This window comes from Homo sapiens, chromosome 18 (genome assembly GCF_000001405.40).
Source record: "Homo sapiens chromosome 18, GRCh38.p14 Primary Assembly".
NCBI classification, from domain to species: domain Eukaryota; kingdom Metazoa; phylum Chordata; class Mammalia; order Primates; family Hominidae; genus Homo; species Homo sapiens.
Window position 1 is genome coordinate 35,442,171 of NC_000018.10, and position 25,497 is coordinate 35,467,667.

A 25,497-nucleotide genomic window follows, 5' to 3' on the forward strand; every position below is an offset into this window, starting at 1 on the left:
TCAAAAGTCAAGTTAGTGCTATCTTTCGTGAAAACTTATCACCTCAGGAAAGTTCTAACTCCAGAAACACTCCTGAGTTGTGGGATGACCAAGCAGAGCTGTGGTCCAAGCAGACCCTCACCTCACCAGCAGTTCCAGGCACCCACCAGTCCCAGGGGAGCAAGACTTTTTGCAAATGAGCAGAAACATTCTAGTTAGAAACATTCAGAGACCCCTAGAGGCGGGAGAATCAAAACAGAACTGTATTTCATGCTGAAAAGTGAAAACCAAATCAACAAAGCTCCCTGTCACAGCAACTGGTCAGCTCAGCTGTATAAGTGAATGGCAAAAACATTCCTGGGCTCTGTGGAAGCCCCTGGAAGAAATCCAGAACCTTAGGTACTTAGCCTGACTGGGGGTGGTTGTTATTACCATAAATTTATTTATTTCTTAACATATCAGTTCCTTTCATTTCAAACATTTGCTTGACATTTGTAGTAATTAGGTGAATGCTGGAAGAAATGATTAAATGATATTGTAAAATAATGTTTTGGCCTGACTCAAAATAGAAATATTTATAGTGTTCCCACTAATGCCAGATGATGTTAGCCCGATTATTGTGCTGCTTTTTAAAAAACATGCTAGGCTGAAAAAAAAATCACAAACAATCTAAAGTGAGCCGAGGCTCTAAGAGGCTTTGTGTCTATAAGCCCTCTTCCTGTCTGCTATTTGGCCCCAGCAGTAAAGCCCATGTGCTTCGATCAGTGTGGTGGATGTCTGGAGCACGGTGGCTCTGGGTGTTGGGAACTCACATGTCTCATTATCTGAAGACGAAACCAAAGACTGGAGAGATGGCTTGAGTATCACTGAGTGCAGAGGTCTGTGTCCCCTCCTAGCCTTGTACTGTGGGATTTGGAGGTCACTGTGCTTTCACTCCTGCAACTCCTGTTCCCCACTTTTCTCCCCTGCCTTTTTCTCTCCCCCGTGTTATCCCTCCTTTTCTTTTCCCTTCTCCTCCCACGCTAAGCTGAATCCATTAAACTAACTGAACCAATGAGGTCTCGGCCCAGAAGCATCAGCCTCCTTTATAGTGGAGACAGAGGTACAGACTCAGTGCAGTATATCGCCATGCTCTGCAGAGAGCCACGACTCATTCCTGGGCAACTGGAGGAAGGGGAGTGTGTCTGGGACCAGGGAGTGGCCTATGCCAGGGTGCAGACCTCAGTGTTACTCTCCAACCCGAGCCCAAGCCTGCCCCTGCCCCAACCCACACGATACCAAGTGCCACCCGGACCTGTCCTGGCAGCCCTGGGCTTCCTTCCAGAGCATCATGGGAACTACAGGGAGCAATCACTGTGGTCTCTTTACAGTGTCTTAGGGCAGAAGGTGAGGGTCTGAGGAAGTTTCATTGCAGGCTTCAGTACAATCTCTGGGGAAGATTATCAATTTGTGGAAGAAAAGCAGAAGTCATTTCCAGGAAGTCTTCAAAGACTAAACTATAAATGCTTAGTGAGCAGTGCAGGACGTGGATGGGAGGAAACGCAGGTGCCTGCCCAGGCCTGCAGCCCTGGGTCAAGAACCACAGGGAAGACCATTGTCTTCAGAGTCCATCAGAGGCCCCAGAGCCTGGATTTATGGGCCAGGCCATACTGGGCCAGGCTCATAGTGGCTCCTATGTTAGTCTACTTGGGCTGCCTTACCAAAATACCATAGACTGGGTAGGTTAATCAACAGAAATTTATTTTTTCACATCTCTGAAGGCTGGAAAGTCCAAGATGAAGGTTCTGGCTGATTTGGTTTCTAGTGAAGGCTCTTTCTGGCTTACAGACAGCTGCCCTTCTCCCTGTGTCCTTGCATGGCCTTTCCTTGGTGCCTGCACACATAAGCAAAGACAGAGAGTGACAGAGAGAGAGGGGGGGGGGGAGAGAGAGGGGAGAGAGAGAGACAGAGAGAACAAGCTCTCTTATAATGACGCAAATCCTATCAGCACCCCGTCTTCACTTAACCTTAATCACCTCCTTATAGGCCCTATCTCCAAATACAGTCACATTTGGGGTTAGGGCTTCAACATATGAATTTTGGGGTAACACAAGTCAGTCCACAGCAGCTCCCCAGGAAACGGTGTTCGACTTTCCTAAGTAAAGGCCAAGGATTCCTTGGGCATCAATTTGGTTAAGGTCTGCTCATGCACCACGTCAGTCACTGCTCTGGGTGGGGACTGGGCCATAAAGAAGTCAGGGTACCTTGAGTACCCCTGCCCTGGCAAAGACTCAGCTAAGAATGTGGGATGTTATGCTATGCAGGTTCCTTCCAAATCAAGCTACAGCTCCCACCAAGGTTGATGTGCAGACACAGGAGCTGTGTGCTGGCCCTTAGGCTTGAGAGCTGGACAGAAGGAGAGGTGGGCCATCGGTGTATCGTGGATGGTATATGAAAAGACCAGGCATCCTCTGTTTCCTTCCCTCCCTGGTGCAATGGGGATGATACAGCAAATGCTATGCAGGGCTGCTGTGGCACCTGCATGAGATGCCGTACGTGGAGTCTGAGAAGAAGTGGAAGGAGAAGGGAAGGGAGGCAGAGGCATAAAGAGATTTGTCTCCTCGCTTTTTCATGGCACCATGGGAAGCCCGCCCCTGGGTTGGCAATCCCAGCTGCCATCTCTGTCTCTGGCACTGTGCCTCCCTGGTGTCTGTCTCTAAACCCAGACTCTGAAAGATCCACAACGTGTCTAGCAACCAAAATTAGAGGCCTGCTGCTCTTGCTGCTGCTGAATGGAGAGCAAGCCAGCATGTGGGTTGGAAGTGCAGGGCAGCTCGGCAAACTTAGAAGCTGTTGCAGACCAGAGGGAGAGCCACCTGCTTCAGGAAAGAGGCCATGGTGTGTGTGTGTGTGTGTGTGTGTGTGTGTGTGTGTGTGTGAGAGAGAGAGTTGTAGCCATGAGTTCTTCCAGCAATTGGGCATGACCTTGGGAGGCTGCAAACAGATCCTAAATTGACAGCGAGATTCAGCATCTTGGGTCTCACCGTGTCCAAAGTCCTCTGGTCCTGGCCTCTGGCAATGCCCCTAAGTATGGATGGGACAGGAGTTGCAGTGCCTGTCCTTTTACACTGGGGGAGCCCAGTGAGGGGGTGACACATATTGTGGCAGATGTCTGAGCAGTATGTCCCCAGAGGCTCTCTGTAGGGGTGTGTGTATTGTGGGGAGGGAGGGAGGTGGGGGGCGGTTGGGGGAGTGGATGCTGTAACACTGAGCTCCTTGCTCTCCTGTCCCTCTGTGAGGGATAACCCAAGAAGAAGCTTAAACAGAAATGTGTGACCCCTGCCCTGACTCCTGTGGGGGTAGGGATGACAACCTAGATCCTCTGCAGCCCACTCACCCAGCCATGGAGGGGATATCTGCTTCCACACCTAGCAGGAGGGAGCAAAGAAGACTCAAGCCTTTGGTCAAGTCACGATATTCTTAAAAAAATAAAAAATGATTTAGGTCAGGTGCGGTGGCTCACGCCTATAATCCCAGCACTCTGGGAGGCCGAGGCAGGTGGATCACTTGAGGTCAGGAGTTTGAAACCATCCTGGTCAACATGGCGAAATCCTGTTAGACACAAAAATTAGCTGGGTGTGGTGGTGCATGCCTGTAGTCAGTCCCAGCTTCTTGGGAGGCTGATGCATGAGAATTGCTTGAACCTGGGGGGCAGAGGTTGCAGTGAGCTGAGATCATGCCACTGTATTCCAGCCTGGGCAACAGAGCAAGACTGTCTCAAAGAAAAAAAAAAAAAAAAAAAAAGGAAAAGAATGATTTAGTTGGAGGCCACAAATAGGTATCAGGATTCTCCCACATAGCATTGGCAGCCCTAATTTAAGTCACGATAGTATATAAAGTATACTACCTCCTTAGTTACCTGAACTGGATATGGAATAAGCTGTTTTCAACAGGTTAATATTTGAAAATGTCCCTTTTGTCCATTCAGCAGGTTCTTAGGGAGCCCCAAGCTGTGCCAGGCAGGTACAGCACTAGAGACCATCAGTGAGCAAACCAGAGGGTCCCCACCCTGTGAGTTTGCACTTTATTGGGAAGAGATAGACAATGAGCCACCAGCAGAGTAAAGAAAATTGCACTGCGTGCTGGAAGAAGGGAGAGATGCCCTGGAAAAAGAAAAGACAGAAAAGGAAAAAGAAGAGAAGAATGGGCAGTGGTGCCAGGCGCAGTGGCTCATGCCTGTAATCTCAGCACATTAGGAGACTGAGTTGGGGGGATCACTTGAGGTCAGGAGTTCGAGACCAGCCTGGCCAACATGGTGAAATCCTGTCTCTACTAATAACACAAAAATTAGCCGGGTGTGGTGGTGCTCGCCTGTAATCCCAGCTACTGGGTCGGCTGAGGCAAGAGAATCACTTGAACCTGGGAGGCAGAGCTTTCAGTGAGCCAAGATTGCACCACTGCACTTCAGCATGAACGAAAGAGTGAAACTGTGTCCCCCAGTCCCCTCCTCAAAAAAAAAGAATGGGCAGTGGCAAGGTAGATGGGTCAGGTACAGCTGTGGTCAGGGAATCCTCGTGTGGGAGGTGACAATCGAGAAAAGAAGGAGGCGCTATTGTGAGCCAAGGGCGTGTGCAGTAAGAGGTTTACAACCAGAAAGAAGAGCTAGTGCAAAGGCCCCCAAGGCTTGTAAATGGGGGTCCACGGATAGTCTTCACTGGGCCAAGAAGGAAGAGGATGGATGCCCACCTGGGCCTGGATCAGACTCCTCCTCCATGTGATCTTCAAGTAGTCAGTCCCCTCACCTCCTGGTTCTCCAAGTCCAGGCACCTGGAGACAGAACAGGCTTTGTGACAATGGACCCAACCCACGGTCATGCTAAGGACCCCTCTTCTTCTCCCTAGGGCATTCCTCCCTTGTCTCTGCTTAATCTATCTCTTGCCTTGAGGGCCCTGGTTCACACTCTTTCTCACTCGGCTGGCTGTCTTCATCCCCAACCCGGTGCCATGCAGCCCCTGGAATTATTCATCTCAGAACCTAGAAGACAACTCCCACCCCCGGGGTTTTTCTGGACCCTCTGGTCCTCATAGGGCATTAGATTCCATGATCCATTAGATCTTTTTGAGGATTTGTATCCTATGATTATGGGAGAAATCTCTAAAAAATGTAATGCATTCCTCGCTACCTTAGGATCCAGTGCAATGAATGTTTTATCCTTCTGCAAACTGCCAAGTCCTTATTACAATACTATAGAATCATAAGGTGGTCTTTGAGAACATTTACCACTCTGTTCTACAGATAAGCAAAGGAAATACAGGGTTATATGTACACTGGCCCCAGGACAAACCCTGAAGCATACCTGCTTGTAGAAGCCTATGATTTCAGCCTGGTGTTTTGTTTTTGTCATTTGACTTGTTCTGAAATAAAGTAAAATGGAGACTGTAGCTCTCTGACCCGCTGAAGAGCAACATTTGATAAAACTTATTACTGATTAAGAGAGGCTATCTTCTTGCACCAAGTTTTTTTTTCCCCATAGTAACTTTTCTTCACTGTTATCAGGGCCCTCTGAAGTGACTTAAATCCATACCACCTATTGCTCCCTGGGCTTCATGCATCCACAGATTCTCCCTCCAGTTAAACTACCCACTCCCTGAGAGAAGCAGCAGAACATCATAAATCTCTGTATTTATCCCCTATGGAACTGAGGAGCCACAACACACAAAGTCCCCAACCAACTTGCTGAGTTAATTTATGAAAGGAAAATAAACCTCAGGATCCCAAACTCACTAAGCCAAAGGGAAAAGTCAAGCTGGAAACTGTGTCATGCAAACCTATCTCCCTCATAATTTGCCCACTAGGAAATTTCTCACGGGCCCCAAGATCTTTACCCTAGAACAGTTCTGTTGAATTTCACCCTGACAAAGTGAATTGATAGCTTATCTTCATGGGTATGGGACGAAGGACAGAACTCAAAGTCATCTCTCTGCTTACCTGAGACAAATGCATACCTGATTCTTCCTCTGCCCTATGCTTATTTCATCTTATGTAAAAATGCAGATTCACTGAGCTGGATGAATGCATAAGTGACTATTCCTCTACCCTTCTCACATGTGGACAGCTGATCAAAGACTCAAAAGAACAATCGTTTGACTCTTATCTACCTACAGCTTTTTAAAATTTCTTCCTCTTTCCCCAATATCTGCCCTTTCTCCTTTAAATATTGAAACTCTCAAAATCACCTTTGAAGAAAGGCACAGACCTGTCTCCTGGGCGTGCATCCTCAATCTTGCAAAATAAACTTCTAAACTGATTGAGACTTGTCTTGAGTACTTTTTGGTTTATACATTCTCAACCATTTGTAAGATTCCTGCCAGAATAATCCAATACTTCATCACTTCTAGGGCCTGAAAAAAGGTTCAGGGCCCATTGAAAAAAAATTTTCAAGTCCCACAGCAAAGTTAGATAGATTTAAATTCTTTACATGGTATTTGATGGTATTTGTATTGACATGTAGCTATGCTATAAAAGCAAACATCTGCAAAATCTCGGTTGCTTAAAAAAAACAAAGCCTTATTTCCTTTTGTCTTTGCTTTTTTTTTTTGAGACAGAGTCTCACACTGTTACCTAGGCTGGCGTGCAGTGGTGCGATCTTGGCTAATTGCAACCTCCCCCTCCCAGGTTCAAGCGATTCTCCTGCTTCAGCCTCCCGAGTAGCTGGGATCACAAGCAAGCACAACCTTGCCCAGCTAATTTTTGTATTTTTAGTAGAGACGTGTTTCACTATGTTGGCCAGGCTGGTCTTGAACTTCTGGCCTCAAGTGATCTGCCTGCCTTAGCCTTCCAAAGCGCTGGGATTACAGGCTTGAGTCACTGCGCCCAGACCTCCAAAGCCCCATTTTTTGCTCATACTCCATCCACCATGGTCAGGTGGGGGCTCTGCTTTGCTGAGTGTCACCTGCCTTCAGGAGTGCAGGTGACAGAGCCTTTCCCACCAGGAGCATTGCTGTTCTCATGACAGCATATATTTGTTTCCTATTGCTGCTGTAACAAATTAATGTCAAATTTAAGTGGCTTAAAGCAACAGAAATGTATTATATATAGTTGTAGAGGTCAATGTCTGAATTGGGCCTCACTGAACTAAAATCGAGATGCTGGGGCTGTGCATGGTGGCTCATGTATATAATACCAGGACTCTGGGAAGCGGAGGCAGGTGGATCACTTGAGGTCAGGAGTTCGAGACCAGCCTAGCCAACATGGCAAAACCCCATCTCTACCAAAAATACCAAAATTAGCCAGGCATGGTGGCACATGCCTGTAATCCAGCTACTAGGGAGGCTGAGGCAGGAGAATCGCTTAAACCTGGGAGGCAGAGGTTGCAGTGAACAGAGATCATGCCACTGCACTCCAGCCTGGGAGACAGAGCAAGACTCTCTCTCAAACAAAAAAAACAAAAATAAAATAAAATAAAATAAAGAGATGTTGGCAGGGCTGTCTTTCTTCTGGAGGCCCTAGGAGAGAATCCTTTTTATTGTCTTTTCTATCTTCTAGAGACCACCTGCATTCCTTGTTTCAGTACTCCACCCTCCATATTCAGAACTAGCAATGTAGCGTCTTCTCTTTCTCCAAATTCTCCTTCTCCAACTTCTGCTTCCAAGGTCATATCTTCTCTTATTCTGTTACTCTTATTCTCTTACTCTTCTACTTTCTCTTATGAGGACTCTTGTAATGATGTTGAACCCACTTGGATAATCAAGGATAATCTGCCTATCTCAAGATTCTTAATCACATTTGCAGCATACTTATCGCCAAGTAAAGTAACATATTCACAAATTCTAGAGACTAACATGTGGATTTCTCTGGGGGGCTGTTATTAGCTGATCACACAGAGAGAAGTGATGGTGCCCAATCACACACAAGGCTTAAATATTCTGCCCAGAAAGAGGATACTTCATGCCCTTCACATTTCATTGGTTAATCAAGTCACATGGCCACACCTCACTTTTATAAGGTAGAAAGTACAATCCCTCCATGTATACAGAATGAGGAGGATAAGAAAATGCCAGGAATTCTCCTTCAGAGTTAGGAGGAAGAACGCAAAAGGTTTTCACCATCATGGTCACAAGATAAAACTAGAGGAAACAAAAATCATAATTTTCCATTTGGTGAGTAAGTGGCAGATGCAAAGAAGCCCTGATTAACTGAATTTCAGGTGGTGATGAGCCCGTCATGGTTGAGTCAAAAGGCCCAGTGGAGGCCAGCACCTAGTCTGCTGAAGAGCAGGCTGGCCACAGAGGAAGACTATGTGAATGAGAGGCAGCCAAGCTTTTCATGATAGTTCACAAAGACAAACATAAGCCCACAGACCCAAGAAGCTGAGCAAGTCACGGCAGAATAAATACAAGGAAAATCACATCCAGGCACTTTATAATCAAAATGCTGAAAAGCCTAAGTTAAATACAAAAATCTTTCAAGTAGCCAAAGGAAAAAAAGACACTTTATATACATAAAAAAAATTAGGGCTGACATCTCATCAGAAACAACGAATGCCAGAGGGCAATGGAACAAAATCTTTAAAGTGCTGAAAGAAAAACACTTGCAACCCAGAATCTATAAACTACTAAAATATCTTTTAAAGATCAAGGCAAAAATAAAAGCATTTTGGATAAACAAAAGGAGTCATCTGTAGCAGATTTGCACTCCAAGAAATGGTAAAGAAAATCCTTAATTAAGGCTGATAGAAAATGACATCAGACTGAGCAAGTTAACAAGATAGAAAATAAATTCCAAACATCAGGAACAAAAGGAGGTTATTATTGGCAATGCTGCAGACATGGAAACATTAAATAAAGGATTTTGAACAACTTTATCCTCAAGAATACTGACGACTTAGACAAGATAGGCAAATTCCTTGTGCTGTATTTTTTTTTTTTTTTTTTTTGGTAGAGACAGGGTCTTGCTCTATTGCCCAGAATGGTCTTGAACTTCTGACCACAAATGGTCTGCCTGCCTTGGCCTCTCAAAGTGCTGGGATTACAGGTGTAAGCCGCTGCACCTGATCTAATTTGGTTTTGAGGGCTGTCTCTGGAAAGTTGGCCGTAAGCCAAGATATCCACTGTCTAGGAGAGCCTTGACTAGGGTAAAGTTAGGTTCAAGTGTGTGTGTCAGGTGAGGCACGATGAAGAAGTGTAACCAAAAATGCATGAGATAGAAGGAATTTATTACTTATAGTTCCCAGGGAAGTTAGGGGTGCTGATGGGAGGCTGATGGGAAGTGTAGAGGTAGTAGGGAGCTCAACCAGCAAGTGATGGGGAAGAGGGAGAGGGAAATGGGGAAGGATAAGGAGAGGGAAAAGGGTAGGAGGGAGGACCTATGAGGCTATGCCTATATTAAGGTCCATAGGTGTTACCCTTTAGGCTTTCTCACAGGGATTGTGGATTATCTAATTTAAAGAAAATATGTGCAAAGAGGGGAACTTACTTTCATGACTCTGGTGTTGATCATTAGGTTTTATCACGGTTAGCAGCTATGAGGTGTGTGGGATTTGGGGTCAGTGGGATGAAGAACAAGTGGGCTATATCAGAAATAACCATCACAGGAAGGGGAAGTTTTAACTAGGCTAAAGGAGGTGGGGAATGGCTGGGTTTCAAACAACTTATGTAAGGCCTAAAGATGGATGCCAAGCAAGTATATTAAACATATTTATGATACCTTAAAAAAACGACATAACAAAACTGACACAGGAAGAAATAGAAAATCTGAAAATCTCCAAGTTGATTTAAAAAATTGAATGTGCAATTACTTGCAAGGAAACTTCAGTCACAGATGGCTCTACTAAATTCTATCAAACTTGCAATGCAGAAATTATACCAATTGCACATAAACTGTTTCAGAAAATAGGGGAGGAGGAAATCATTTCCCAATTTTTAAATGTTTTGGCCAGCACAATCCTAGTACCATAACCAGACAAAAAACATTACAAGAAAAGAAAACCACAGACCAATATTCCTCATGAATATAGACACAAAAATCCTTTAACAAAATATTAGCAAATTGAACCCAGCATTTTTTAAAAAGAATAACACAACATGACCAAGTGAAGTTTTTCCGAAGAATGCAGTGTCATTTTATTATTTCAATATTAATAAATCCATATAATTCATCACATTATCAGAAAAAAGAGAAAACCCATACAGCCATCTCAATAGACACAGGAACAACATTTGACAAAATTCAATACCTTTTCATGATACAAACTCTCAGTACACTAGGAATAGAAGGGACCTTCCTCAACCTGAAAAAGACATTTCAAAAAAAGCCCACAGTTAGGCCAGGTGCAGTGGCTCATGCCTGTAATCCCAGCACTTTGGGAGGCTGAGGCAGGAGGATGATTTGAGCCCATGAGTTTGAGACCAGCCTGGTCAAGATAGTAAGACCCCATGTCTACAAAAAATAAAAAATTAGCAGGGTATGGTGGCATGTGCCTGTGGTCTCAGCTATTTGGGAGGCTGAGGTGGGAGGACTGCTTGAGACTGGGAGGTCAAGGCTACAGTGGATCATGCCACTGTACTCCAGCCTGGGTGACAGAGCAAGACCCTGTCTCTAAATAAATAAATAAATAAAAACCTACAGCTTACATCATATGTAATAATGAAATCTTCAAAATTTCACCTTAACGTGGAGAACAAGGCAAGGACGCACAATTTTACCACTTTGATTCAACGCTCTACTGGACATCACTATCCACTGGGACAATAGGGCAAAAAAAGGAATAATAGGCCGGGTGCAGTGGCTCACGCCTGTAATCCCAGCATGTTGGGAGGCTGAGGCAGGTGGATCATGAGGTCAAGAGATCGAGACCATCCTGGCCAACATGGTGAAACCCCATCTCTACTAAAAATCTAAAAATTAGCTTGGTGTGGTGGCATGCATCTGTAGTCCCAGCTACCTGGGAGGCTGAGGCAGGAGAATCGCTTGAACCCATGAGGCGGAGGTTGCAGTGAGCCGAGATCATGCCACTGCACTCCAGCCTGGCAACAGAGCAAGACTGTCTCAAAAAAAGAAGTAATAGTCAGGCAAGGTGACTCATGCCTGTAATCCTAGCACTTTGGGAGGCCAAGGTGTATGAATTACTTGAGCTCAGGAATTTGAGACCAGCCTGGGCAACAGAGCAAGACTCTGCTCCCTGCACCCTCCAAAAAAAAAAAAAAAGAAAAAGAAAAGAAAAAAAATTAGCTGGGTGTGGTGGCTCATGCTTGTAGTCCCAGCTACTTGGAAGGCTGAGGTGGGAGGATGACTTGAGCCCAGGAGGTCGAGGGTGCAGTGAGTTGGAATCAAGCCACTGCACTCCAGCCTGGGTGACAGAGCCAAACCCTGTTTAAAAAACAAAACAAAACAGAAATAATAGGCATAAAGATTGGAAAGAAAGAATTAAAACTGTCTAGAACTAATAAGTGAATTTACAGGGTCTCAGGATACAAGGCCAATATAAAAGTATCAGTCGTATTTCTATACACTAGCAACAAGCAATTGGAAAATTAAATTTTAAAAAGCACCACTTTACAAAAGGTCAGACTGAGGGAATACTCTGGGGTGTTGGAATCATGTTTATGGTGGTGGTTATGCATGATCTGAAAATGAAATTAGGAAAACTATTTTACTAGCATCAGAAAGAATAGCATCCTTAGGAATAAATTTAACAAAGGAGGCAAAAGACTTGTACACTGAATACTGCAAAACATTGCTGAAAGAAATTAAAGAAAATCTAAATAAATGGAAAGACAGTCCATGTTTATGGCTTGGAAGACTTAATATTGTTAATATGATAGTACTACCCAAAGCGATCTACAGATTCAGTGCAATTCCTATCAAAATCCCAATGATATTTTTTACAAAAATAGAAAAACCCATCCGAAAATTCAAATGGAATCTTAAGGTAACCCATATAACCAAAATGATCTTGAAAAGAACAAAGTTGGAGGATTCACACTTCCTGATTTCAAAACTTACTAAAAATCGACATTAATCAAACAGTGTGGTACTGGCATGGGAACAGATGTATAGACCAATGGAATAGAATTGGGAGCCCAGAAATAAACCCTCACATGTATGGACAATTGATTTCTGACAAGGATGCCAAATCATTTAATGGGGAAATGACAGTTCCTACAACAAATGGTGCCAGAAAAATGGAATATTTACATGCAAAGGAATGAAGTTAGACCCTTATCCTACACTACATACAAAAATTAACTCAAAATGCATCAAAGACCTAAACATATGAGCTAAAACTGTATAACTCTTACAAGAAAGCAGCAAAAATATATTTGTGACATTGGATTTGGCAATGACTTATTGGATATGACACCAAAAGCACAGGCAACAAAATAAAAAATTGATAAACTGGACTTCGAAAAAATTTTTGAAGTTTGGTGCACCAAAAGACACTATCCAAAAAATGAAAAGACAACATTCAAAATGGGAAAAATATTTTCAAATCATATATTTAATAAGGATCTAGTATTCAGAATATCTAAAGAACTTTACAATTCAACAACAAAAAGACAACCCAATTTTAAAATGGCCAAAGAACTTGAACAGATATTTCTCCAACAAAGATATACAAATAGCCAATAAGCACATGAAAAATGCTCAACATCATTACTCATTAGAGAAATTCAGTCAAGCCACAATGAGATGCTACTTTACACCCACCAGAATGGCCATAATGAAAACAAAACCAAAATTAACAAGTGTTGGTGAGCATCTGGAAAAATTGGAACCCTCATCCATTGCTAGTGGGAATGTCAATTGATGCAGCCTCTGTGGAAAACAGTTTGGTGGTTCCTGTAAAAGTTAAACACAGAATTATAATATGACTCAGCAATTTCACTCCTAGATATATACTCAAAAGAACTGAAAACAAATATTCAAACAAACACTTGTACATGAGTGTTTATAGCAGCACTATTTATAATAGCCAAAAGGAGGGAGAAACTCAAGTGTCATTGATGGACAATGGATAAACAAAATATGGTTTACCCACACAATGGAATATTATTCAACCATAAAAAGGAATGAAATTCTGATATATGCCATAATGAAGATAAACTTTGAAAACATTATTCTAAGTGAAAGAAGCCAGACACAAAAGGTGACATATTATATCATTCTATTTATATGATTCTCCTTATACAAAATAAATAGAATAGCTCAGTCCACAGAGACAGAAAACAGATTAGTGGTTGGCAGGGGCTAGAGGGAGGGGGAAATGACTACTAATAGACTGGGGGCTTCTTTGAGGGGATTATAGAAATGTTCTAAAAATCAGATAGTCGTGACAGTTGCACAACCTTGTGAATATATTAAAAACCACTGGGTTGGACACTTTAAAAGGCTTTTTAATATATGTAATTTATATCCCAGTTTTTCAAAAAAAAAAGAGAATCTATCATAGAAATATATATCACAAAAGTGAATACTACCGCTTGTAAATAAATTTTTTAAAGACCATTTATAATAGCAACCAAAAACCATAAAATATTTAGGAATAAATTTGATAAAATATGCGCAAGGCTTCTATACTGGAAACTATAAAACATTACTGAGAGAAATTAAAGAAGATCTAAATAAATGGAAGGATGAGTCAAGTTTATGTTTCAGAAAACTCAATATTAAGATACTCATTCTTTTCCAATTGATCTATAGGTTCAATGCAATTCCAATCAAAATTGTAGTAGGCCTTTTTAATATATATATAAACTTTTTTATAGAAACTAATAGTCTGATTTTACCATATGTTGTGCTGTTTAAGTAGCCAACAGGAAGCCACTTCAGGCTCTGGGAAATCTTTGTTTTATGGAAATGAGCAGCATTAGAACCTTCAGCTAGGAGTGGATGAGTTGGATTTTGCTTAACTCGGGGATCCTTTGATTCACTAGTTACTACTCAAGGGAAAATGAGGAAACAGCCCAGAGAAATGAATACTATCAGATCATTCTCTAAGTGTGGGCCATACTCAGAAATGAGTTTGGAGATGTTGAAGTCACTCAGTAGCTCTATGGCTTCTTTGATTGGCTGATTGTTTTGTGAGACTTCTAAACCTTGTTTCCTCTTGAAATGCCAAATCCATTGCTAACTAAATGAGACAACCCGTAAGGAGGACTTGACAAAGCATACAGGACACTCAGTAAAAGCTGAGCTGCACCCTTCCTGGACCTGGCCTTTTTGGGTCAGGTTTTCTGTGTTGACTCATACACAGATGAAGGTCGTGCTCTGGACAAGGAAGAACATAAAACCAGAAAAAAAGCTGGCAAAGAGTAAAACACAGGGGATGGGGACCAGGACCGAGATAGGAAGAAGCCCAAGAGACAGATGAGCTGCAGACATGACAGGGAAAACAAAACAATGAGATGCTAAGATTGCAGAGTTGGGCAGGTCTGCATGACAGGGTTCATGGAGTATATTTCAGTTTTTCAAAGACCGTTGCCAGGACTTTTTTTCCATTTATTTCTTTATGGCTGGGTGCAGCGGTGACTCATGCCTGTAGTCCCAGCACTTTGGGAGGCGGAGGCAGGCCGATCACTTGAGCCCAGGAGTTCGAGGCATGCCTGGGCAACATGGCAAAACCCTGTCTCTACGAAAAAATATAAACATTATCCAGGTGTGGTGGTGCGTGCCTGTAGTCCAGCTATAGGGAGGCTGAGGTGAGAGGATTGCTTGAGCCTGGAAGAGGGAGGTTGCAGTGAGCCAAGATGGCACCACTGCACTCCAGCCTGGGTGATGGAGTGAGACCCTGTCTCAAAAAAAAAAAAAAAAAAAAAGAGAAAGTATTTTATAATTTGAATGGTATTACAATGTGTTATGTACCACAAATATGCAAATCAAGACACTAATGTTATATTTTGAGATATCTGTACTCAGAACAAGAGAAGCTTCTTCCCAAATTTCCCTTTGAGAGCATCTCTCCCCTTCTCAAATCGTCCCTCTCCCCATAAAACAATGGCAGCTCAAGAAACATTTGATGGATGAAAATCAGACACATATTGATAACCTCACCAACTACTGCAGGAAAGAATGGGCTAGGCTTTGCATATGCACGATGAGGTATGGAATCTACTTGTTTGGTTTTATTGCACCTAGCTATCACCGGAAAGCACTGCTTCTTTATCACAATTCCTACAGGGTAGAATGTGGTGGAGTAACTGGGCATTCTGAGTCATTTCCAAAAACTCTTTAAAGGGGTGTTCTGCAAATAATACTATTTCTTAAGGTAGGAGCAACTTTCACAATCTGTTCAAGTCCTAACAAGTAATATATTACATTTTGAATCAGAATAAGTCAAACCAGAATTTTTAAAGTACATATTAATAATAGTTCTTGTGGATTGTGTAATAGTTAAAATAGCAGTTAAAAAAAAAAGAAAGAAAGAAAGTGGATTTCCCACTTAGTAACTAGTTGATACTTTATCGTAACTAAAGTTTGAAAGGCAGCATTTGGGATTCATGAGTAAGATTTTCTTCCATGACACCTGACCAAGCAATTGCTGCTCCATTCTTTCCTGCAGTAACCTTTATTATGATTTTAAAATAAACTTTGAAATTTAAAACAGTTTCAGATTTACAGAAAAGTTACAAAGATACTACACAGTTCTACAGCTCCAACGCCAAGTTTCCCCTATTATTCACATCATAACACTAGTGTGACACATTTGTTAGAATTAACGAACCAATAGTGATATGTTGTTATTAACTGAAGTCTATAGTTTATTCAGATTTCCTTATGTTTTGCTTCGTGTCCTTTTTCTGTTCCATGGTCCCTTCTAGGACACCAGATTTCACTTAGTTGTCATGTCTGCTTAAGCTTCTCTTGGTCGTGACGGCTTTTCAGACTTTATTTTTGATGGCCTTGTCAGTTTTGAAGACTACTGGTCAGGTACTTTTTAGAATGTCCTTCAGTTGGGATTTGTCTGATGTTTTTCTCATAATTAGGCTATTGGGTGTTGGGAAGGAGACCACAGAGGTGAAATGCCATTCTCATCACATCCTATCAAGGGTACACGGTGTCAACATGACATCACTGTGGGCATTAATAGGATGATTTTTTTTTTTTTTTTACCTTACCAGGGAAGCATGGAGCTCCCTGAAGGATGAGCCAGACCTCAGTTTCCAGGCATATGTGGGAGAGGCTGTGGGGAAAGGGGCTTGAGCTTCAGATTCAGTCATGGAAAAGGGAGAGAAACCCGACCAGGCAGAGATCATATGCCTGCTGGGAAGCCACAGTGATTTACACTGCTGAGTGGAGAATTGCTGAGTAAATATTGCTTCCAAGGAGGGAGGATGTGCCCTGCTGCCTGCTCCCACCCAGTGCCTGGTAAGTGGATGCCCAAAAAAGCTTTTATCTATGCTGCAAGGAAGCCCAGGAATCCTGTGGGTGGTGGCAGTGGTGGTGGTTCAGGTGGGAGTAATTTATGAATATAAGTATTTGCTTAGGAGGCAGAGGTTATGTTTAAAATGTGAGCCTGTTTAAGGGAGCAACCTAAGTAAATGAAGGCAAAAGCATTACATAGATATGGCCCAAACCAGGCTGGTAGGAGAAATGTGCCCGAGGCTTGACTCCATGGGTTAGGAGCCAAAGGGGATGGATGTACCCCAGGCTAGCCTGGAAAGGGATTAATTCATGGGCTGCAGGGCCCCAGAAGGCAGGAGCCAGGTGGGGTAGTAATAAAACTGTCTGTGCAGCCCAGTGGATGTTGGCCATGCCTCCTCCCCAAACCCACTGTGGATTGGTGACAGAGGGATGGCATTTCCAGTCTTCTTCTTGCTCACCCTCAAGGACTCTGTGCAGTATGCAGGCCAGGATTCTCTCAGGCTGTGGGTTTCCACATGTGCTTCTGCATGGAAAGTCCCCTGGCTGCTGCAGGATGTCCTTTGCAGAGCCCCATCCTGTCCTCCTTATCGCAGCTGCAGGCAGCCTGAGCCACATTCCTCCTGCCTGAGTCACTGTTCCAGGCCACAGGCCACCTTGCCTCCAGCTTGGCCTATGGACCAGGCCACTGTCCATTCCATCATTTGCCAGACACTGTGGAGTGTCCCTGCCCTTAAGGTCTTACCCTGGTGACCATGCAAGGCAACAACTGTGGAGCTGGGGGACTGCCAGGGTTCCATGGAGGAAGGCAGAGGGCAGAGGAGGGGACGGGGGAGCCTCCTGGAGGAGGCGACTGCTGAGTTAAGTGCTGGGGAAAAGGGAGTGTTCCAGGTAAAAGGGGATAGGGGATGAGATTGCCACATTGTGGGAAATGAAATGTTGTGTTGAATGAAACTCATTTAAGGAGACGCTAAGCCAGAAATGTTAATGGGATTAAAAAGGACTCTTCTATACCTAGGATGGAGTTCTGAGGATGGTGATGCTAGGATACAAAGTCTTGATCCCTTTGTTAGGCTCTTCTCTTCAAAAAGTGGTGGGGGGCCGGATGTAGTGGCTCACACCTGTAATCCCAACACTTTGGGAGGCCAAGGCAGGAGGATCACCTGAGGTCCGGAGTTTGAGACTAGCCTGGCCAACATGGGGAAACCTTGTCTCTAATAAAAAATACAAAAATTAGCCAGACATGGTGGCACACACCTGTAATCTCAGCCACTTGGGAGGCTGAAACAGGAGAATCACTTGAACCAAAGAGGCGGAGGTTGTAGTGAGCTGAGATCGCACCACCGTACTCCAGCCTAGGCAACAGAATGCGACTTGATCTCAAAAAAAAAGAAAAAGAAAAAAAGAAAAGGCAGTGGGGTTAGGTGGTTGGGGATCCCAGGGAAGGAAAGCGAGGGCACATCCTCCTAGACACCTCTCCTCTTCCCAGTAGCTTCAAGACAAGCTTGGACTATGTTCCTGTGCTGCTTGGGCTGATGGCCCAAAATTGCTGAGCCTCAGCTTCCCCCAGGGTTAAACTGGAAGCAATAGTGCCTGCCACAGAGGATACTGAGGAAGTCCTGAGGGAACAGTGCAGGGCCCAGCGCAAATGGCCAGTAAGTGGTGTTTGTGACTAATGACAAAATGGGATCAGGCCTCTCCCTAAGGAGGGACCTGCACAGCAAGAGGCTCAGGGCAGCTAGGGTAGGGGAAGACGCCAACATTGCCTGTCCTAGGGCTCTCCCTCTGGTCTTCCCTGTCCCTGCTTACTCTGAGTAAAAAGACAGTCCAGGCATAGTGGCTCATGGCTGTAAGCCTAGCATTTTGAGAGGTCAAGGCAGGAGGATTGCTTGAGGCCAGGGTTCCAGGTTGCAGTGAGCTATGTTTGCGTCACTGCATTCCAGCCTGGACAACAAAGCAAGACCCTGTCCCTACAAAACAATAATAATAACTTTAAAATTAGCCAAGTGTATCTATCTATACCTCCTTGGGAGGCTGAGACAGGAGGAACCCTTGAGTCTAGGAGTTCCAGGTTGCAGTGAGTTATGATTGCACCACTGCAGTCCAGCCTAGGTGAGAGAGCAAGACTCTGTCTACAAAAAAAAAAAAAAAAAAGAAAAAACAAAAAAGAAGAAAGAAAACAAAGAAAAAGACAAAACACAAACTAGAATTTCTGGAATAATGTGGGTCACAGAATCTTTAGAAATGGGGGATACCTCACCACCCATTGCTCCCAGCCCTCTCTACCCACTCACAATTTCAAGACAATTTCAGTTCCTTCCCATTCAATGACTCATAAGAAAACAAAACAATAGTTTAAATAAATACTACATCTGGCAAAGCCATTCAGCATTTTAGCCTTATTGTTGGTTTCCACTCAAATATTTATGAAGCATATAAGATGTGCAATGCTCACTGCTAGGTGTGGTAATGCCAGTGAAGGGTAGTTTAAATTAAATGTGTACACTCACCCTTCTGCTTTAAACAAAGTGTCTTGGCCAGGCTTCTTCAGGAAAACAGAGCCAATAGGCTGTGTGTATATATAGAGAGAGAGGTTTACTTTAAAGAATTGGCTCATAAGATTGTCGGGGCTGGCAAGTCTGAAAACTGCAGGGCAGATGGGCAGGCTGGAGACCCAGGGAAGATGTGAGTCTGAGGAGGGCCTAGAGGCTTCTTTCCTCTCTTTGGGGACCTCAGTTTTTTTTCCTCGAAGGCCTTCAGCTAGCTGGATAAAGCTCACACATATTATGAAGGGTACTCTGCTTTACTCCAAGTCTATTGGTTTAAATGTTAATCTTATCTAAAAAGTACCCTCACAGAAAAATCCAGACAACATATGACAAAGTATCAGAGTACTGTGGCCTAGCCCAGTTCACACATGAAATTAACCATCACAGAACGTGACATGGGGTGATGTGCTTCTCATGAGTGTCCCAGGCAGTGTTCCTCTGCTTCTCCTTGCCCTCCGCAGGTAGCTCCAAGCCAACCTTCTCCTGCCAGAGGACACAGGGGCTGAGAAGGAGTGCTGGGCGTGGATGCAGGGGCCTGGCTCACAGCCTTCCCTTGCCTCTAGTTTCTCTCTTGAACCTCAGGTTCCTTAGGTGTAGAGCGAGCCCGCCGCTACACTTGCCTCAATATTGTTGTGGGCATTAGATGGAAACAACGTGTGTGGGGTGCACGGTGTGCCGTCAAGTGCAGTGGCTGTGCTATCAGGAGGGCTAGAGGCTCTGACACAGAGCAGGGCAGAGCGACCCTGGATCCTGATGGGTGGCGGTGGGCTTGCCTTATGGACGGAGGCAGCAGAGGACAGATGGTCCAACCTCAAGGAATTTTCCTGAGTTCACAGGAAAGTGTTAGCAATCCTCCCAGCCCAGGGCTCCTAAATTGAGTCTCTCTCACTCTTTGTAAATTATATTGTACTCTTTCCAAAAATTCTAAGACATTCAAGTTCTCCTTCTTCATCCTCCCACCCCAAATCCACTCCTTTTTCCAAAGGAGACAATCATTAACTCCTTAACATAAATCATTTCACATCCTCTCTTACTGATTTTTTTAAACTACAAAAAGGTGGTTGTCTATATTTGTGATTTTATTGTTGTTCACTTACCAACGTATTGTATGTATTTTTCAATGTCTAAATCTGACTTCTTGTATAGTAGTAGGCTTTTTTAACTTTCTACTCACTTAAAATAGAGAAGAAAGATAAAGAAGAAAAATAAACAAAAGACTTCTACAAATAAAATATAAACCTCGTTGTAGGCCAATGAAATCAGTTTTCTGGGAAAGCATCCACATTGCTCAGTCCCTTTTTCTCTGAGAAGGGCCCTGGCCCAGGTGATGCTACCAGGAGGCCTTGCCTGTGCTCTCCAAGAACTTACGTGCACCCAGAAGTCCCCACTTATAGGTTCCATTCCTAGAGTGTCCTCCTTTGTGTTTCTCTTTGGCTGCTGTAGCCATGTTTGCCTCTGAGGCAGAGCCAAATGCTGTGGGCTCTGTGCCACTCCATAAGCAAACAAATGGCAGCACTGAATTTCAAAGAAAATTCCTTAGGTTACTGTTTTCCTTCCTTCCTTCCTTCCTTCCTCCCTTCCTTCCTTCCTTCTTTCCCTTTCTTTCTTTTCTTTCTTTTTTCTTTCTCTTCCTTTTTCTTTTTCTTTCTTTCCTTTCTCTCTCTCTCTTCTCTTTCTTTCTTTCTCTTTCGCTCTTGTTGCCCAGGCCTAGTGCAATGGTGCAGTCTCGGCTCACTGCAACCTCCACCTCCCAGGTTCAAGTGATTCTTCTGCCTCAGCCTCCCGAGTAGCTGGGATTACAGGCATGCACCACCACGCCCAGCTGATTTTTTGTATTTTTAGCAGAGATGGGGTTTCTCCACATTGGCCAGGCTGGTCTTGAGCTCCTGACCTCAGGTGATCCATCCGCCTCGGCTTCCCAAAGTGCTGGGATTACAGGCATGAGCCACTACGCCTGGCCAGGTTACTGTTTTTCTACAAAACCTTCCAAACAGCCAAGCAAGGAGTTCGGGGGGAGTTGTACAAATGCGTACTTTGAGGAAGCTCATTTTTGAGGTCTAATGTTGTCTGTAATAATTTTCCGTTGCGAAGAGCAGAAATTCTCTTCTTTATCTCTAGTGAGCAATTTCCTTTCCAGATGTTATTAGGGGAGATATCAGTCACCAAGGCCTTGGCTGGCTCCCTGATAAAAGCCCTTGCAGTATTCCACACTGCAGAACCCCAGGCTATGCCCTCCTGGATTCATACTAGAAAGATCCAAGGCTCCAAGCCACCAGGGCTGATGGATGTGACTCATCTTCCTGACCCCAGGGGAGGCGAGTGGTGTGTTTGGTGCACACTGTGCACCTGTCAGTAGTCAGCATCCTGTAGGCCAGGAAAACACTGACTCTTCTCAGGAAAGGCTTTGACGGCAGTTGGAACAGAAGTACAAGTAGACAGAGGCCACTGAGTTATGGAAGAAAACCAGGCTGGATCCAGTTCTGTGGATCCAGGAAGAAGGATCCCTCCTTTTCCTGCTCAAGCTGGTCATCAAAACAAGTAAACAACTAGCCCCCCTTTTTTGTTTTTTTAGGGTTTTAAGGTTTGCTATTACATAGGAAACATGGTAGTATACATGGTGAATACCAAAGAAGGCATAAAACATTAGTGATTTTTAAGAGGTCCAGTGGGTGGTTTCTACTGGCTCTTTCTGTCCCTCATTATTCTAGAGGAGTTCCTCCATTAAAGTCCTCTGCTATTCACCCCACAAATCCCTCAACCCCTCTCTCTCCCCCGGCCTCAATCACAGATCATTGCTTCTTTAGCTAGTTATTTACTCCTTCCCTTGTCTCATAAAAAAGTTGAGCAAGCTTATTAGAATAAGAGAATAAAGGACGAAAAGAAATGGTCAAAATAAGCAATGAAGAAGGCAAGGAAAATAGTTGATAGAGCCAGCAATAAGATGAGCACATGGAAACATCTATCATATGATGTTATTCAGTTACTACAAGCGGGCATGAGCCAAGAGTCCTAGGAGCCAAGGAAATGAGAAATATAACCAAGCAGAACATACAAGTCAGGAAAACTCTGCCTTTCTAATGCACAGACCAGAGGGGATGTGGGTGATCCCAGTCCCGAGTTAAGTGTTTCTCTGACATTTTCTTATTTGATCCTGACAATCTCGTGGGGTGGACATTATTATAACACTCATTTTACAGATAAGGAAACTAAGAATTCAAGAGTAAGTTCGTAATGTGCCCAAGACTACAGTTAGTGAGATGCAGAAATGAGATTCAAACCCAGGCTATCAGGCTCCATGTCTGGGTCCTGAATGAAAAAGCTCACCCTACAGGACTGGGGTGGGGGAGTGGGGTTCTGTGGGACATTTCTGAGACAAATGTAATAGGCATTTTTGTAGGTCCATATCTCCTGACCTCTTTCAATCCAATTCCTTAATATGGGCACAAAAGCATAAACCCTGTTGAAATTCAGCAAAAGCAATTCCTTGAAGCCAAACAATTTGTGCAGGTGCATAGTTCTTTGATAACCTAATTTCCTTCTCTATTTACATAAATGAATACTGCAGATTCTATCAGGAATTATAACAACAGGTATTTATTCAAGCCATAGTCAGTCATTCAATGCATCCGCAGCCCTCTCTATTAAGATTTATACCCCACTAGAACCTCAAAGCTGAAGTCTTTGGTCTTCTCACTCTCAGGCTTCCTAACCTCTACAGAGAAAATACTCTTAAATACACAGCCCTCCGGGACAACTGAACACACAATGAAGACCTCTATTAAGAACATTTACAGGACAACTTTACCTGTCCATGGTTCTTCTCTTCTATATTCTTTGTTAGATGTTTTAGGAATTGGGTACTTCCTCTATTCAAGACCGCATACCATTTAGGCAGCATTTCTCAAACTTTCAGCATCTGTAAGCCAGTGCAAGCTAATGCAAAGCACTAACTTTGGGTAAGATTTCATCACAATTTTTAGTAATAAAAATATCTCATTCTTTTTGAAAGCTTTTTTATTATGAAGAAATGCAAACATATACCAAAGGCAGAATAGTATAAAGAACCCCCATGGACTTATCACTCAGCTTCAACTATAACTGACTCATGGCCAATCTTATTTCAACACGATTCTCATCCACTTCCTCTCTCTCATATCATTCTGAAGCAAATCCCAGATGTCATATCATTCCATCCATAAATATTTCAGTAGGTGTCTCTAAAAATATGAATTATTTTAACATTACAATAGCATAATCACAACTATTTGTGAGAATTCCAAAATATTATCAAATATCAAAATATATCAGATTCCCAAATGTCTCAAAATTTTAAAGTTTTTTTTGTTGTTGTTTGAATGAGGATCCAAATAAGGCCCACACATTCCCATCAGATAGAATATTATTTTAAATGACACTATTGTTTCATGCATTTGTAAGAGGGCATAATTTGTAATCTCTCCCCAGGATATCTGTCCTATTTGATAATGGGGTCAAGTTCCATAGTCCATTGATTTCTTTCGTTACCCTTTATTTTTACTAAGTTAAACTCTCCCAATTTACAGTCACTGGAAAGAGTAACAAATATCTGGTATCTTTTTCCAATGACTATGGATTCAGAAATTAAGAGATTTCTTACTGCAAACATGTTTAGCCCTCCACCAGGTGCCAAATCAATCATGAAACACATTTAAAATTTGGACAGATCCATGCTTTAACTTGGGAGATGGGGGAAAATGGGTCCCCCTCACCTACAGGGACTGCCTTCTGGCTCTGAAGAGCATATTTTCAACGTTACAGGTCGTTTTAAACCATGCCTAATACCAGATTAAGAAAGAGTCAAACTCCAGTCAGAGCAGACTGGACCTGAGTTTGGTCTTAAGAGGATTTCTCAAGTCCAGCTAATTGTTTTTCTCTTAAAGTGTCTGAGTTTTTCTTTTGGATCCTGCAGACCAATACCAGAACTGACCTCTTATCAGAGGCAAATGACCAGTAGATATGCCGTGATGAACAAAGTCATTCAAAGTTGTCAGGAGGACACTGAAAGTGTCAGGCAGGGTATGAGGTGATCCTGAAGCAGGATTGGAGCCAAGTAGAAGAGGAAGAGGGTGATGTAGGAATGAAGAGGGAGGAATCTGCAATGGCATTCATAGTTGACTCCAGTGTGGGATGCCATGTAAAAAGGAACTCTAAATTCACACATACATGCACACACATCCCAAAGAAACCCCTTGCAATTTGCTCATGGCCTGGGATGGAAAGAGCCAGCTGATCTGAGAATAAGAAAATGTACCTTACATGAAATATTCTCTTCATAGTTACAGCAAATGTTCTCAACGCTGGCTGCACATTAGAAGCATCTTGGGAGTTCAAAATACTATGTCCGGGCCCCTGCACAGGCCAGTGGAATCAGAATCTCTGGGTATTTTTAAACCTCCCTCACCATCCCCCTCCTGGACACCCCCCACCCACACAGGTGATTCTAACGTGCAGCCCGGCCTGAGAACCACCGGGGTACAGCATGGACAGCAAGGGCTATTTCAGTACAGGATCAGTTAATGAGCAAGGGCTCATTATTCAAAATACTCACAACTTGAAGCTTGGTTTGGCTCAGCCTGGACTTCTGGAGCTTGGGGTGAGAAGCAACCTAATCTTCAGAATTCACAGCTCTCCCGCAAAAACAATGTCAGCAGGGAGAGCCTGGCAGGGGAATGGGAAAGGAGGTGTGAGGTGTCCTGCACACGAGCTTCCCTTCTGCCCGGGGAGAACACTGGTTCTCTCACTCCTGTGTGCATGATGATCACACGGGGATATCTGTCAAATGCAGCTTCCTGGGCCCCACTCCCTGGGTCGGTCAGAAGGTCTAGGATGTGGCCCAAGAACCTGCATTTTAGCGGGTCTCCAGGTGACCCTCTGAGGGTTTATGGAACAAACACACATCCATAAACCGAGAGGCCTCCAGGAGCAGCAGTCTGTGGGTCCTTCCTGATGAACACGTGTGGAGCAGGGCTTCCCTCTTCAATCCTGGGCCCTGCCCCTGGAGGGTCTGAGCAGTAGGTCTGAGGTGTTGCCTAGCATCAGCATTAGAAGTGATTTCAGGGCACTGCCCAATTGGGGACCTTCATGGAAAAGAAGTGGACCTGCCCCAAGTTTTCTCTGTACAATAGAAGGTGGAAGCGAAGCAGGAAGGACCCTTGGCTCATTCCCTCCTTGCTTCTACCAAAACGGAAGCTGGCGTTTTTCCTAGGCTGACATCTGGCAGGAAGTACAAGCGGAAACCAAACAGCAGCCTCTGGTCTTTCAGAGACCATTGATTTCATCAGCAAAATGGGTCTCAAAGCTTCATCAAAGTGGGTCTCAAAGCATCATCAAAGCAAACATGCAAATTCTTGGGCCCCACCCCAGACCATCTACTGATCAGGTACTTCAGGGAGACAGGCTCCCTAATCTGTGTCACAGGAGGCTCCCAGGTGACTCTGATGCTTGCTCGGTGATTGTGGGCTTAGGAAAGGCCCCCACCTCTTCTGGCCATCCTTTCAGGTCCCTTGTCATGGAGGCAGGGGGAGGCCCCACAGCACCTCTCCCGCTCTCGGTTTGTTATTGGGAAGGTGCTGAAGGATGCTGGGGCTGCCAA

General features: G+C 43.8%; 1 long non-coding RNA gene across 2 annotated transcripts, besides 3 other annotated features; it reads right to left on the reverse strand.

Moving 5' to 3' along the window:
* Positions 1–1,698: 1,698 nt before the first annotated feature.
* On the reverse strand, positions 1,699–24,995 carry ZNF24TR (ZNF24 transcription regulator). 2 transcript variants are annotated; one of them, NR_186611.1, is made up of 3 exons: positions 24,454–24,995; positions 4,705–4,785; positions 1,699–1,852 (listed from the first exon to the last, which is right to left on the reverse strand). It is a non-coding gene; the product is annotated as a ZNF24 transcription regulator (long non-coding RNA). The 2 variants fall into 2 exon arrangements; NR_186612.1 differs by having other exon boundaries at positions 24,157–24,995.
* Positions 15,833–16,660: an enhancer, noted in NCBI's record as "H3K27ac-H3K4me1 hESC enhancer chr18:33037967-33038794 (GRCh37/hg19 assembly coordinates)". NCBI's record gives its function as "activates a minimal SCP1, AML or CMV promoter by ChIP-STARR-seq in naive H9 embryonic stem cells {active_cell/tissue: H9 hESC(naive)}" and the evidence as "EXISTENCE:reporter gene assay evidence [ECO:0000049][PMID:30033119]".
* Positions 20,911–21,055: an enhancer, noted in NCBI's record as "145 bp enhancer 294 fragment used in the MPRA reporter construct; PK_construct_4061". NCBI's record gives its function as "activates an SV40 promoter by MPRA in K562 cells {active_cell/tissue: K562}" and the evidence as "EXISTENCE:reporter gene assay evidence [ECO:0000049][PMID:23512712]".
* Positions 20,974–20,991: a transcriptional cis regulatory region, noted in NCBI's record as "GATA motif; enhancer activity is reduced when this motif is scrambled". NCBI's record gives its function as "necessary for full MPRA enhancer 294 activity {active_cell/tissue: K562}" and the evidence as "EXISTENCE:site-directed mutagenesis evidence [ECO:0005528][PMID:23512712]".
* Positions 24,996–25,497: the final 502 nt, after the last annotated feature.